The following is a 16361-nucleotide window of genomic DNA, read 5'->3' as shown; positions in this document are numbered from 1 at the left end:
GTTCCAGGCTTGAGGGTGAAGTTTAGCCAAGAGCCCAACACTTCTGTATTTGCCTGACATTCTTTCGGTGGGACCTCTCCTGCCCTGCTCACATTTGCCTACTCTAACATTTGTACTTTTACATTTGGAATAACTGTCCTTCATTATCTCTCATGTGAAGGACCACACTCACCACCTGACTTTTCTTTCCGCTTTCTTTCTCCTTCCCACAAGCACCCCACCAACACACTTTTTAAAATTAAAGCTAAAGTTTTATTTTAGCATTTAAAGATTATATGAAACATGGTTGATTACCCATACTTAAAAAATTCATCAGTTATTTCTCCTGGTCTATTGAATAAAATTTAAACTCATTTACATGGCATTTAAGACGTTTCACAGCCTTTCATCTAATTACTGTTTGGATTTGTAAGGGAGAAAGCAAATAATTCTTTCCCCAACACTCATATTTATTAGTTGGGATGAAACCCTTTAACAAAAGACAGGTTAACCACAGAAAAACAAACAAGTTTAATGACATGTATACCTCATGTATACATTGGTGATACCCAGAGAAGTCAGTGCATTTCAGAGAAGCAGCTTTGAACTCAACCTTGTATTACCATTGTTCCCCGAAACAAAGAAAGAAGGGTGTTGTGGGAGCCAGTGATGGGGAGGTGACCAGGAAAAGCAGGGCAAACAAGGGTAAGGTTTGTTATGCAGATTTAAGAGCTTTCTCTATTGGTAAGAGTCTCTAGTGATTTAGTCATTCTTCTTTCCTGGTACAGAGAGGGAGACATCGTTACAAATGGAGATTTTCTTTCTAAATGTAAATTTCTTTTACCAAAGAGTAACTTCTACTCTATATTCAGAGCTTCTCCTGTCTGTAGTTTCTCAAAATAATCAATTCAAAATAATCCTTATGCCAAAGAGATATATTTTGGGGTGGCAGATTCTGATTTCTTACAAATCTCATCTGCCACTCCCTACTCATTCAAGTTCCTCTGTAAGCCATTATATTCACTTTGGGTGTATTATTCTCTTTCAGGAATTCATGCCTTAATACCACCAATTTTAAATATTCTTCCAAACCTTTATAGCATAGTGAAATCTTATTCTTCCTCTACACTCAGCTCAAATATCACCTCATCTGTGAAGACTTCTCTGTTATTTCAATCCATTATAGTAATTTAAATGTTACTTTGTTTATACCTAAATATGAATTTCTTTTGCTGTCTTGTAAATGATTTAGTACTTTTTTTTTTTTAATGGCTTGTCATGCATGTAGGGATAAGATATTACCTGTGAATATCCCAATACAATACAAGGGACTTAATAGGCATTCAGTAAGTGTTAAATGCTTAAAAGAATCATAAAAATATAAAATTCACAGTATGTATACTATCAAACATTTAAATTCCATACAAATTTAGTATTATTAAAAATCTAGGGGAGAACAGACTAGTATTCCAAAGAGAAAGAGAATTGATAAATTAATCACTCTAGATAACAGGATAACATATTTAAAATATTTTATTAAAATTCTAAAAATGGTAGAAAATAATTTGACAACTCAAGATAGATGAAATACTTTTATCTTGTTTCATTGTTCTTATTTCCTCGAGGAAAAACAACAATTTAACATTATTTTGGCCTTGCTTTATTGGCTGGAAAGCAAAGTTGTGATAAATAACCTTGTCATGAAATAAAGATGATTACAATGGAACAATATTGTACTGCTGAGAATGGGTGTTTGTAAGTGTTGTTGTTTTTTACAACCTTCTATTTTCTAAAGAAGGTCTTATTAGTTGCAAAATGCTTTAAATAAAGAGATGATTTCAGCATCCTACCTAAGCCAACAGTCCTACTCCCTTCCCTTTATTATTGTTGATCAATAGCCTCAGTAAGCAATTTCAGGGAAATCAATTATGCCATTCCACCCAGAAATGTCTATTTCATCACTTTCCTCCACGACATGGTTGAAATGACTAATTTTCTGGGGCTCGTTAAATCTCCATCTTTCATAGAAGACCACAAATTCTACCTCCCATATTACCCAGTGATTTGGGGCAATAGGCAGACATGCAGGAGTACTTGAAGCAGATTAATACTGAAAGAGCTTCTAACACATCAAACAATCCTTCAAATGTCTCTTAGACAAGATTTTTCACATGAAATGCCTGTACTTAGCTCAAGAAGGAAGGATTTTATCACAACTGGAATGCCTGACAGATTGCAATAGTATGCCTTCGACTATGGAATAAATTGTGTTCTATCCAAATGTTTATATTGAACCCTAAACCCTAAATATGGCTATATTTAGAGACAGGATCCATAAGGAGGTAATTAAGGTGAAATGAGGTCAACAGGGTGGGGCCTGCTTCAATTAGATTAGCCACCTTAAAGAAGAGACACCAGAGAGCTCCTTTGCTTTCTTTCCATGCATATGGGAAGGTCATGTGGGGACAAAGTGATCAGGGGATTGTCTGCAAGCCAGAAAGAAAGCTCTGGCCAGGAACCAACCTTGCTGGACCTCTTTCGAGGACTTGTGGCCTCCAGAACTATAAGTAAGTAAAATTCTGTTGTTTAAGGCACCCAGTTGTATCTTATTGTGGCAGCCCGAGCAGACTAATACATGTTTCCACTGAGCATTATTCAAGGATAATTACATTAATAATTAATATTTTAATGTCAAGAAAGACACTCATATCTCAGACTCACAAAAATAAGCATTCAGTATGGCCTCTGGACAGCATGGGGACTACCGCCCTTTTCTTTTTAGAAAAGGTAAACAACCATGTAAATCCCATCCCTTCAATGATTTATTTGCATGAGGATGAAATCTAGGGCCCTCGTAAAGAGTACAAATATAAATGTGCATAGTGTGTTTACCCATTAAATATATTAGTGCCCATTATTTATTCATTTTAATTATTCTCTGGGGTCTGCCATGTGCCCAGCACATCTGTGAGTGCTGGGGAAACAGTGGTGTGCAGGCCAGCAAAATCCCCAGTCAGTGAGGAGCCTGCATAACAGATAATAAACAAGTAAACATGCCATTGATATAATTTTCAGAGAGTAAAGAGCATAGAAAAAGCAAAACCACAAGATGAGATGATGAATGGCAGCTATTTGAGATTTCTGTCAAGAAGGCAGAGCCTACCCTCATGCAGCTTAAAATGAAATGATGGTAACACTTTAAGCAAGGAAGTGAATGTATTAAGATTATGTGCACAGGTGGCTATTGGAACACAAAGAAAAAATGTCTTATACAATTTTGGGAGGCCAGAGAAGTCTTTACCAGGGACAGTAAGAGTAATGGAGAAGAATGGCTAAATAATTCAGCATGGAAAGAGAGAGATGTGGGTTGGAACTTGGCTCTCCTGTGTGATGCTTGCTAGTGACTTATTCTCTCTGATTCTTTTCTGTCTTGTAAAATAGGGCTTGTAATACCCTCTCACAGGAAGGGGAGAAGGTTGGTGTTCAATACCCAGAATGAGAAATAGCCTGAAATAGTCCTAGAAATAGAAGTGGTTCACAGAGAATGAGGCCATAAATGAAAAACATTAAGGCAGAGGTCATATCATAAAGGTCCATGCTAAGGAACCAGAAGTATAGTTTGAGGCAAGGGATATATCCCTTGGCCATTTAAGGGCTTCAAGATGATTAAAGTTTTAATTTATAAATTCACAGAAGATTTTTAACGTTCATTTCATTTTATCTATATTTTCTAAATTTCTGACACTGAATAGTACTTATATAAATTTTGAATTCTTAAAGCAGTTAGAAAAAAATAACCCTATTGAATTAGTCAAAAAATGCAAAGGACCACAAATTGGCGATATTCCTGCATAAACATATGATATCAGTTTAACAACCTCCAAATAAGTGCATTGGCCTGTGGGCTTTGGTATCTGAGGTCTTTATGACATAAAAATTGATAATCCAGGGAGATGAGCATCTGTTCTGTAATCTTTGGCATTATCCTCATGCACATATTTTCTTGGTAAGAGGATTGAGCAACAGAAACTTAGACATCCTGGAAATTCTGCTACATCATCCAATATGGAAGTTTTCCTGGACTGAATGGTCTGTTTACAGAAGATATACTAATGCTGATCATAATCAACTGTCATAGCCCAGCAATTCCATCCCTAAGTATATGCCTATAGAAATTTCCATAGATGGTCAACCAAAAAAAAAAAAAAGTATGAGCAGCACAAATTGCAAACTCCCCAAATGCTCATTAATAGTAAAATGAGATAAGTATATTTTGGTATATTTCCCCAAAATGAAATAGGGTACAGAACTAATAATAAAATGACTGCAACAACTCACAAGTATACTGTTGAGTGAAAAAGATCAAACAAAAAAATGTAGATACTGTAAGGTAGGGGTGTGTGTGGGGGGTGGGGTGTGTGTGTGTGTGTGTATGTGTGTGTTTATGCATTTACGCTGAGGGGGTGTAATAGATAATTTCATGTGTCAACTTGACTGGGACATGGGGTGCCCATATAAATGGCCCAACATTATATGGGGTATTTCTATAAGGGTGGTTATGGATGAGATTAACATTTAAATCAGTAAGCTGAGTAAAGCAGATTGCCCACCCTGAAGTGGGTGAGCCTCATCCAATCAGTTGAAAGCCTAAATTAAACAAACAAACAAACAAACAAAAAGTCTGACCCTCCTCTGAGAAATAGTGAATTGCTCCTGCCTGACTTCATTTGAACTGGGACACCAGCTTTGTCCTACTTTGGGAATTGAAGTGAAACATCAGTTAGTCCTGGATCTGGAGCCTGCTGGCCTTTGGCCTGCAACCACACCATTAGCTCTCCTTGGTCTAGAAGACTCAGCCTGAAGATCTTAGGACTTGTCAGCCTACATAACTGCATGAACCAGTTCCTTCAATAAATCTCTTTATAAATGTAAAGAATGTACCCACATCCTATTGTTTCTGTTTCTCTGGAGAACCCTAACTAAAACAGAGGATTTCCAGGGTGCTAGTAATGCTTTGTTTATTAATCTGAATTCAGGGAGCTATACACTCAACTATGGCAAAATATTAAGGTAAATTTAGATATAAATATTTGGAATCACTTTTTTCAACCTTTCAGTAGTTTCCAGTTAAAGTTAACTTTATGACTCCTCATTGATGTTAGAGGGTATCAAAATCTTAATATCATTTTAAAAAAATACAAAGAGTATGGAACATCTCATGATCATTGTCCATTTGCAAATGTTATAGTCTGTTTGCCTAAACGAGGTCCAGCTGTAGGTCAGAGGGTCTGGCATAAGCCACTCTGTTCCCTGGGAGCCCTCCACATTTCTGAGACTGTAAATCAAGGTTTTCTTTACCCGCATTCTAGTAGAATGAAACCCTAGGATCAGAGAAACTATATTTGGCAGTTTTGATATATAGCATATCCTGATCTGTACAAAAGCCACATCTCCAGAGATTTCCAAGTTACCCTACAATGCAAGGGTGAAGCCCTGGGTAACCTGGGTCAGATCAGTGCAAAATACTAAGAGACAGACCATTTATAGGGTTCTGTATATGACTCACTCTTAAATGTGTTTAAAGCCATTTTTTAAAGGCTTACCCTAACGAAAAAGTGGAGCACTGAAGCTCCTGTGGGAATTTCATAGTACCTGAATAATATTGAATTAGTATTTAAAAAAATAGAATTGTTCAAAAATTTTGCCTGTATAGAGTCCTAGACCATTATCATGTGCCTTCTAAAACAACAATCCAAAACCTTCCCACCAAAACCACAAATTTTGCCATAAAATGTCAGCTTTTTTGAAAAGATAAAATACTAATTATTGAATATTTTTAGTCAATAAACAAATAATAATGCTTACTTTGCATGGACATCATACTTACTTCACCTCGCCCCCATCTAACCTGCATTTACCACAAACTCAGAAATATAAAACTATTAGTGAATAGCAAGAAAAAGAACCTAAGAAGGTTTATGTATTTATCTATTGCCAAGTGTAAAAGATAATATTTTAATGGATTAACAGTTTCTTCTATTAGGAGCTGAATCCAAAGGCAGTAAACAAATTATGTTTCTTGGATAACTGGATTTTTACATTCACAAAGCTTCCTGTATTTTTCTGACACCATTATCAACCATAAAAATAAAGTAATCCACCGCTATTCCATATTGCTAATATTTTCTTGATACCTTTGAAACTGTTAACACATTTGGTAGCTCTTGTATATCTTAAATACAAACTTTGGCACTTTTCACTGAAAGCTAATTTGGAACTTTGCTCTAAAACGTCCCCTTTAGCAAATCTGTCAAGAAACTACTCAATCAAAAACTGAGCTCCTGAATACTCAACAGTCTTTATTTTTTTTCTAGTTTTCTCATCTACTCTGTCCTTCACTCAACCTGGCCACTTACCAGAAATCCTGGGACATTGAAGTCAAGCTTTCTAGTACTGGGTCATTTCCAATTCTTAGTCTACTCAGTGTCAGCCAAAACCCTAAACTCTCACAAATAGTGCTATGTCTTGATTAATCATTTGTTAATTTGAAGGCAAAGTGCTATATTTCCTGGTGGAGAAAACCAAAATAATCAGATGGCTTGCTTTTTTTTTTTTCCCCCCCCCCTCTCTATGTTGGCCCAGGGTCAGCAGGTTTGAGCAAAGCAGGAGTTGACAGTTTTAGAGAGAGGCTTTCAGTCTTAAGCCTGCCTCCAGCACACCTGTGACACACAGAGAAGTAAAAGCTTTAAAGCAGTTTTTAAAGGAGTTTAGATAAAAGAAAGATGGGAATTCTTTCTCAGACTAAAATGTTGTAGACAAATATTATTAAATACTGGCAGCAACTGGCATTGGGTATATAATAAGAGGGCTCAGTCTGTTCTGTGTTTGCTCAAACTTGAGTAATTTGAAATCAAATTCTAGTAGTGTGTCTGAATTCTTGTGGCTGTTTGGAAAGAGCAATTTTTTATTTACTAGTTCTTAAGGAAAAAATATTTTTAATTTTAATTTTTCAAATCTATGTGGAAATAATATTAGTCTGATCTCTCTGTGTTGGTTTATGTTGTTTTTATCTGCCTAGCACCTGCTTTCCATGAGCCATGTTGTCAGTAGTCTCCCAATCACAGCCTCACCTCTTCCTTCTAAGCCACAGGTATGGACCAATGTTAGCCAATCATCCACCTGACAATAGCAACTGATTCAAGACGGGAGCTCAAGAACCAAGTAGGGCCTGAGGGCTTTACCTGAAGTGAAATATGAACATCCAATGGCAAAAAGAAATACTCTCTCCACTGGATTGTTATGCCTGGGCCTGCAGCAACCAAGTTCTCTACCACATGGAGAGATATGAGATATGGTTAGACAAAATGAGAAGAGCACAGACAAGCAGAAACAAGAGCTGGGCAGGATCCCTGTTCAGACTAACTTACAGTCTGAACGTACATGCAAAGATCTCTGAAAAGCAGTCTATCCAAGTGGGCTTAAAACTTTAGTCATGACAAATTGTATTTTCAGAGGCAGCACAGTGCATTTCTTAAAGCTCTTGTTGTTCTTCTTTACTATCAAATAAAAATTGGCTCCCTGTAACTTGTATTTTGACCAGCTCTCCACTATCATGGAATGAACATATTCTATCTATTGTATGAGAGTCTTTTACATATTAAAAGATATCCTGTATTCCCTAAGCCTCATTTTTTTTTTTTTTTCTCAAGATAAAGTATCATTTAGCTCTAGTAAGAGAAACAATGTGGACTGGGATGAAACATGAATCTGATCCAACATGACAAATCTTTTGTTCCTATGAGGATTTTCTGCCAGGTCAATGGTAAAAACTAAATAGACAGCAGGATGTTAGATACAGTTTGAGTGCAGAAGAGAAGTATAAGAAAGGTGGCTCATGTAAAGCAGAACAGTATATATTAGAAATAAAATGATCTGTTTTCCAGAGTAGTATTCTGCTCTGTCTCTCTCTCTTTTTTCTTTTTTTTAGAAGTAGATAGAATAAAACAATTGACCAAAGATTTAAAATGTCAACAAAGTTTGTCAGTGCCTAGGAACTGTTAGAAGTCAGTGGGAAAAAATTATTCAATAGTAAATTAGAAATGAAAACATGAAACACAAATTTGAAAAACAGTGGTATTTCAGGATTTTTAAGTTAATCAACCAGTTGGCAGAAAATCCAACTTGTTCTAAACAGAGTTAGGATACAGAAAAGACAATGACTACATTGAGAATATCAAGATATGAAGATCAGTTGAAATTTTTAAAAATGCTATTTCTACTGGTAATTTAAACCAAAATGAGAAAAGTGATTGATTGCAGGTGGTAGCTGGGGACAAGCTTCTTTTCCATGACACAGTCCCAAACTTCAGTGATGCGTGTCAATTCTGAATGGTACCGGGATAATTCTGCGATCGCTCACAGTTGAAATGGTGGTTTTAAATGATCTAAGAATTTCTAGTTTCGGTTTTAGAAAGACAATAAAGTTTATTTCAAGAAGCCAGTACCTGTTTAAATTTAAAAGAGAAGAAATTTAAAGGTAGAAATTCTTCTCAATTATCTGGGCCAGTAGTTTAGCCTCCTAAATAGAAGTCTATGTAGTGAATCTCTAAATTAACTTGATTAAATATTACTACAGCTTTTTTTTCTTGGAGCTCAGTAGATCATTTCAATACAATTCCAAACAATCTCTTCAACATGAATATTCTTGGCCCCTGACTTGTGCACTCTCACATTCCAAGAACTTAAGAGGTTTTCTCTAGACTTCAGTCTGGGAGTGTCATCTCTGGTCTACTTTATATTGATACAATGAACTCCAAGTAGTCATTATCTTGGGAGTAAAATTTTTTTTTTTACTACAGTGGAAGAGTGTACAAACAGAGGAGTCACAGGTCTCAGCTTTGAAGTCAGAAAAATCTTGGGTTCAACTCTGAGCTCTCCAACTCACCAAGACTTTCTGAGCCATTTCCACATTTATAAAATCAAAATCATAACATCTACTTTATAGGTTTGTTATGAGGGCTTGGTTATTTTTCCAAAATCCTTAGTATGTTGTAATTACTAAACTAGTAAACTGGTAGAAACTTCTTTTATAAATGTAAGAACTGGGGATAAAAGCTATCCACAGGAGGATGAATTGTAATTAGAAAACTCAAGTGGAGACACATGACAAATAGAACATAATATCTATGACTTGCCTTTAGAATTGTACCTTTCCAGTATTAGGATAACTTTTTGCTTTAGAATAGTTTAAAAACATTTTGTCAGGCACTGTGGTTGTCCCTGCCAGTAGGCAGTTGAATAATATGAAGTCCCTATCCCTTGAAGAGGTGATGTTTAGGGACAGGTGGGCAAATAATTTCAGAGTTGTGTGTTGCATGGTTAGCTCTATTTATAAGATATTTCAGACCATGCAGAAAGAGTTTTAGTCTTGTGCTGGGTAAGGGAAACAGCATATCTCTAACGGCTTTCTGGAGGGTGTCATACAGAGTTTAACTCTGTAGGAAGTGCAAGAACCAAGCAAACAAAGCCATTCTAGGTAGACTAAAAGGGCTCAATAACGGTATCGAGACCGGTAAAAATGTGTCAAAGGAACTATAAGCCCTTTAATAATACAAGATTAAAAGACAGTTTCAGAGATATGTTCTTTCAGACTTTAGTGTTACAAGGGATTCCCATGCTTGACCATTTTTTCCAGGGCAGAGAAAAAGAGAGAAAGCATTTTAATACAATTATCAAAGTCAACATACGAGGTTATTTATTACTTCGAATACATAATAGCAATCCCATTAAAATCAGACAAAAAATGCTTATTGCTTTAAAATATGTTTTGGCCTGTCTAGCAGTGTAATAGACCAGGAAACTAAAATCCTATCTGTGGTTAACATTAAGAAAAATGCAAAATTATCATTACTTGTATATGAAAAGAATTTCTTTCTGGAAAATAGAAAAGAATCAAACTATTGGAACTAAGAGGTAAATTCAATTTATTTATATAAATAGTAAAGGTGCAAAACTTGACAGGTGTCTTATATCACCAACAGTTAGTGAATATAATGTTGAAAAAGAGTCCATTCATAACAGGAGCAAAAATTTAAATACTTGGAAGTAATCTTAACAAGAATGCTTCTAAACTGAACTCATCTGAATATTTTTGCTGAGAGATTCAAAAGAAGACTTAAAAATGGAGAGACATATCAAGTCCACAGATGGGAAAATTGAATATGATAAACCAATTCTTCTTTTTTTAGATCTTATGCAAATCTAGTAAAAATCATAGTTTTTTTTTGAATTCACCAATATGAATTTGTGACTGACTCCATTATTGAGAACTGTAAAGAAAAATTTGTAAGTATAAAAACTACTCTGTACTCTACTATTTATCACCAGTTACATACATGTATAATGAAACTATAAAAATTAAAGGATTTCAGTATTGAAACAAAAATCTACAGATCTATCAAATAAAGCAGTCACAAAATAGACAATGTTGTGAACAAACCAGGAGGCAGATTCTGTAGGAAAATAAGCATTATTTATACTTAACACTCGCAAAGTTGCTAATTTCTTTAATTAAAGGCTCCACAAACCACATACAAATAGAAACAATTATAAATAAAATATAATGAATAAAATAAAAATCAGAACAAAATAGATGGAAATTTACTTAAATTAAGGATGAAGCACGGTTGTGTAAAGATATCAGAATTCACAAAGAAAAAATGCTATAAATTAGCCTATATAGAAATTTAAGTCTGTTGTGCTTCAGAAAGGACCATAACTGCAATTGGAAATTAAAGAAAATGTTTTGAAACAAATGAAGGAAGAATAGCCTTAATATGTTTGGAGAGTTTTTTTTTTTTTAAATGCAAACTTAAGAAGTAGAGGAGAAACAATACTTTATACCTTATGAAATACAAACATCAGGGGGAGCAATGCACACTGGGCACCTGTGGGGTTGGCGGGTGCAGGGAGAATATCAGGAAAAATAGCTGATGAATGCTGGGTTTAATTCCTGGGTGATGAGATGATCTTGTACAGTAAACGACCATGGCACACGTTTACCTGTACAACAAACCTGTACATCCTGCACACGTACCCCTGAACTTAAAAGCCGAAAAAAAGGAAAAAAAAATTAAAACATACTTATATTGGTGACCAAAAAAATATTAAAAAAGAAATACAAATGTCTATGAAGTATTTCAATAAATTGCTACCCTGACTGACATCTTTACCATTGAAAAAGAGCAATTTGTTTGTTGTCATTCCAAAGAAAACACGCACTGTACATGTGATGATAAAGGTGTCCACATAATTGTATGAAAGCACAAGTCTAGAAAGTACTAACTTTTGAAAAATAATTTGTTAACATGTTTCCAGAGAAGTACAATGTTCAAAGTTACAGACCAAATGGTATTCTTTCGAGCAACTTTCATTAGAAAAATTGCTAGAAAACTTTTTTTTATTAAAGTCTTCACATTATATTTAAACAGGCTTTTTATTTAGGCTGGGAGAATGATTGCAAAGATAGTTCCCATATATCCTGCATTCAGTTTCCATATTATTAACATCTTAAATTAGTATTGTACATTTGTCACAATGAATGGACCAATATTGACATATTATTATAAACTAAAGTACATACTTTATTTATTTTTCCTTAGTTTTACCTAATGTCCCTTTTTCTGTTCCAGGATTCCACATGACATTTAGTTGTCATATTTTCTTGGGTTCTCGTTAGCTCTGGTGACTTCTCAGACTCACCTTGCTTTTGAATGACCTTGAATAGTTTGAGAAGTACTGGTTGGGAACTTTGCAGAATGAACCTCAACTGGGATTTGTGTGATGTTTTTGTAATGATTAGACCGGGTTTATTGGTTTTGTGAGGAAGACCACAAAGACAGAGTATCGTTTTCACCACATCATATCAAATGTGAACTCTATCAAGATGAGTTACCATTCTTGCTGTCAATCTTATTACCTGGCTGAGGTAGTTTTTTTCTTCAGGTTTTTCTATTTTTTACACATTTCTCCCTCCCTTTGCATACTGTATTATTTGGAAGGAAGTCACTATGTACAGCTCATACTTAAGGAATGAGGAACATTACTTTTGAAAACAGAAATTTAGTAGCCTTAACTCAAGAAATATAAGACTGGTTAATTTTGATATTTCTGTCATAGGGTTCATTATATAACCATTACAAATAACATTAAAAAAATCAATTTCATGTCAGGGAAAAATATTCAAACAGAATAAGTGAAAGAGGTACTGCATACAACATAAAACTCATTGCAAAAATATACATATCTAAAACAAAATAGTATGAAAATAGTGTTTATAAGGTCAATTTAAACATCCTTTTATGTTTCTGATTTTCCAAATTTACTACTACTTCTTACTTTATAATCAGAAATGTAGTTTTCAAAAACTAAATTAAGGCACTTTTTCCACTAAAGGGATATGTTTACCAGATGGACTGGACATATTTATGTTGGCTGGACAGTGTACTCACTCCTTGTAATAGGGCTGGAAGTCCACAGACAAATTTTTCTCTGTTCCCTTTGTTTACTGTAATAAGTGATGCCCTAACACACACATTCCCAGACTCACACCTAAGTAAACACATTCTTTCTTCAAGATTCTTTAATAGCATAGAAGTACAACTTTAGAAATACTAATGTTAATATATTACTTAAATCCTAATTGAATTTTACGCTTTTGTTGATTATGCATTAATAGACTTAGATTAAATGAGGGATCTCATCAATTTAAAACTGAAAAAACATTTTTTTGGTTGCTAAGAATATTAGTATATTATCAAACTCTTGCTGCCACAAAATTTGATTAATCTTTCCATTTAGAGAAAATTATCAATCCACATGTTGTTGTAAGAAATTACACAAAGAGATCCCTTATACTTTTTATGCAGTTTCCCCCAATAGTAACATCTGGCAAGATTATAGTGTAATATCACAACCAGAACATGGACTTTGGTACAATCCACTGATCTTACAAAAAATGTTCTCAGTTTTACTTGTATTCATTTGTGTGTGTGTGTGTGTAGTTCTACGCATTCTATCAGAGGTGTAGATCTGTGTATCTACCACCATAGTCAATACAGGAACAGTTCCATCACCACAAGGATATCTCATGTTTATCTTTTATTACTGTACCCACTCCCTTCTGACCACCAGTTTCCATGTCTAATCCCTAGAAACCACTAATCTGTTGATTTCTGTAATTTTGTTACTTCACAAATGCTATATAAATAGATTAATATAGTCTGTGAGCTTTTGAGATTAGTTTTTTCCCCTCACTCAGCCTACAGCCTTTGAGATTTATCCAAATTGTTGCATGTAACGAATCTCCGAAGACTGCTTAGACCCCTGCTCGTACTCCCCATAACGTAGACCTCTAGGATAGTCACATTCCTGATTTTTGACACCATAGAGCATTTTTGTCTACTTTTGAACTTTACATAAATAGATTTCCATAGTCTGTACTTTTGCATCTGGCTTCTTTTGTTTAACATTGTGTTTGTGAGATTAATTCAAAATCTAGCCTTTCATGGCATGTAGTAGGGTTTATTCATTCTCACGTTGTGCAGTATTCCATTTATTAATCTATCAAGTCACCCATTCTACTGTTAACTACATATGTTTCTTGTTTTTAGATATTATGAATAATATTGCTATAAAAATTCTTGTATGTATTGCCCTGCGAACCCATTGAATCATTTCTTTCGAGTGTACCCTTATGAGAAGAATTGCTGGCTCAGGTAGTATGCATATATTCAGCTTTAGTAGATGTGACCAAATAGTTTTCCAATGTGATTGTGCTAATTTCTGCTCCCACTAGCAGTGTATGAGAGCTACCTATCCAAATATGTGTTGTAAATTTCCTTTCTTTTTACACTGGAGAAACTGAGATTGAATATACTTAAGAGTTTCTTAATGTCACACAACTGAAAGGAAAACTTCCTGGTTTTAACCTAGGTTTCCTAAATCTAGTCATATTCATTTTCTAATTTACTATCATGTCAAATACTTAACTTTTATCACTGTACCTACCTTCTACTTTTTCCATAAGTGAATTTCCATACATTTTGTGCCTCTAATGTTCTTCTACTCAAAGACTAATCCAAGACGATCACAGTTGCTCCCTAACTCTGCCAACTCAGCTGTCTCCTTTTACTTTTTTTTTTTTAATTAAAACAACACACATTTATTGTCTCACACATTTCTTGTCTTAGTTATCATTCTCAGTATCAAAAGTCTCGGAACGGTGGCTCAATGGGGCCCTCTGATTAGGATCTCATGAAGCCTAAAACAAGGCCTGTGTTCCTTTCTAGAGACTTGGGATGAATCCATTTCCAAGTTAATTCAGGTTGTCAGCCAAGTTCAGTGTCTTGCAGCTGTAGGACAGAGGTCTCTATTTCCTTGCTGGCTGTTAGCCAGGAGCCAGTCTTTGTTCCTAGAGCCTGCCTACATCCTTCCTATACTTAATGTGGTGCACCTCCGGCAATGGCAGATAGGGTATCTCTCATGCTTGGGATCCCTCTGACTTCTGCTGCATCTCTCCCTGACTATAGCCACAGAAAATTCTTTGCTTTCAAGAGTTTCTGTGATTAGATTGAATCAACCTGAAAAATCCAGAATAACCTGCAAAGACTCTTTGCCATGTAATGGGGATTAGAGAGTATACATCTTTTTGGGGGAGGTGGGAGCATTATTCTGTCTACTACATTGCATGTATCCATAGTTTGTTTCTTTTTAAAATTTTTTTATTTTTCTATATGTTATTGGGGTACAGGTGGTGTTTGGTTACATGAGTAAGTTCTTTAGTGGTGATTCGTGAGATTTTGGTGCACCCACTACCCGAGCAGTATACACTGCACCCTATTTGTAGTCTTCTATCCCTTGCCCCTCTCCCATCCTTCCCCCCAAGTCCCCAAAGTCCATCGTATCATTCTTATGCCTTTGCATGCTCATAGCTTAGCTCCCACATACCAGTGAGGACATACAATGTTTGGTTTTCCATTCTTGAGTTACTTCGTTTAGAATTATAGTCTCCAGTCTCATCCAGGTCACTGCAAATGCTGTTAATTCATTCCTCTTTATGGCTGAGTAGTATTCCATCATTCACCACAGTTTCTTTATCCACTCGTTGATGGATGGGCATTTGAGTTAGTTAGTTCCACAAAGTTTTCTATAGTGGCTGTACTAGTTTACATTCCCACCAGCAGTGTAGAAGTGTTCCCTGATCACTGCATCCACGCCAACATCTACTGTTTTTTGATTTTTCGATTGTAGCCTTTCTTGCAGGAGTTAGGTGGTATTGTATTGTGGTTTTAATTTGCATTTCTCTGATCATTAGTGATGTCGAGTATTTTTTTCATATATTTATTGGCCATTTGTATATCTTTCTTTGAGAATTTTCTATTCATGTCCTTAGCATACTTTATGATCCGATTGTTTGAGTTTCTTGTAGATTCTGGATATTAGTCCTTTGTCAGATGTACAGATTGTGAAGATTTTCTCCCACTCTGAGTTGTCTGTTTATTCTGCTCACTTGGTATTAGGGTGAGACTGGCTTCATACAATGAATTAGGGAGGGTTCCCTCTTTCTCTATCTTGTGGAATAGTGTCAATAGGATTGGTACCAACTCTTCTTTGAAGGTCTGGTAGAATTATGCTGTGAACACATCTGGTCCTGAACTTTTTTTGTTGGTAATTTTTAAATTACAGTTTCAATCTCACTGTTGTTACTGGTCTGTTTAGGGTATCTAATTCTTCCTGATTTAAGCTAGGAAGGTTGTATTTTTCCAGGGATTTCTCTACCTCTTCTAGGTTTTCCAGTTTATGTGTGTAAAGGTGTTCATAGTAGCCCTGAATGATCTTTTGTATTTCTGTGGTGTCAGTTGTAATATCTCCAATTTCATTTCTTATTGAGGTTATTTGTTTTCTCCCTCTTCTTTTCTTGGTTAATCTTGCTAATGGTCTGTCATCTATATTTATCTTTTCAAAGAACTGGCTTTTTGTTTCACTTATCTTTTGTATTTTTTTGGTTTCAATTTAATTTAGTTCTGCTCTGATCTTGTTTATTTTCTTTCTTCTGCTGAGTTTGGTTTGTTCTTGTTCCTCTAGTCCCTTGAGCTGTGACTTTAGAATATCCATTTGTGCTTTTTTAGTCTTTTTGATGTAGGCATTTAGGGCTATGGACTTTCCTCTCAGCACTGCCTTTGCTGTAGCCTAGAGGTTTTGATAGGTTGTGTCACTATGTTGTTCAGTTCGAAGAATTTTTTAATTTCCATCTTGATTTCACTTTTGACCCAATGATCATTCATGAGCAGGTTATTTAATTTCCACGTATTTGCATGGTTTTG

General features: G+C 35.2%; 1 long non-coding RNA gene across 3 annotated transcripts in view, besides 1 other annotated feature; it reads left to right on the top strand.

Moving 5' to 3' along the window:
• LOC105370604 (uncharacterized) overlaps window positions 1-16361 on the top strand; it is a 46058-nt gene that overhangs the window by 14977 nt on the left and 14720 nt on the right. For 2 of the 3 annotated variants that reach the window (XR_944104.3, XR_944101.3), the window contains one exon: window positions 7124-7629. The exons of the other annotated variant lie outside the window; for it this stretch is intronic. This is a non-coding gene — a long non-coding RNA (uncharacterized LOC105370604). Of the gene's footprint in view, window positions 1-7123; window positions 7630-16361 lie in introns of those variants that run through there. 3 annotated transcript variants of the gene reach the window in all.
• Window positions 417-955: an enhancer, noted in NCBI's record as "OCT4-NANOG hESC enhancer chr14:85645115-85645653 (GRCh37/hg19 assembly coordinates)". NCBI's record gives its function as "activates a minimal SCP1, AML or CMV promoter by ChIP-STARR-seq in primed H9 embryonic stem cells {active_cell/tissue: H9 hESC(primed)}" and the evidence as "EXISTENCE:reporter gene assay evidence [ECO:0000049][PMID:30033119]".

The sequence above is a fragment of the Homo sapiens genome, chromosome 14 (genome assembly GCF_000001405.40).
Source record: "Homo sapiens chromosome 14, GRCh38.p14 Primary Assembly".
Lineage (NCBI taxonomy): Eukaryota > Metazoa > Chordata > Mammalia > Primates > Hominidae > Homo > Homo sapiens.
This window is presented reverse-complemented; position numbering and strand designations above follow the sequence as displayed.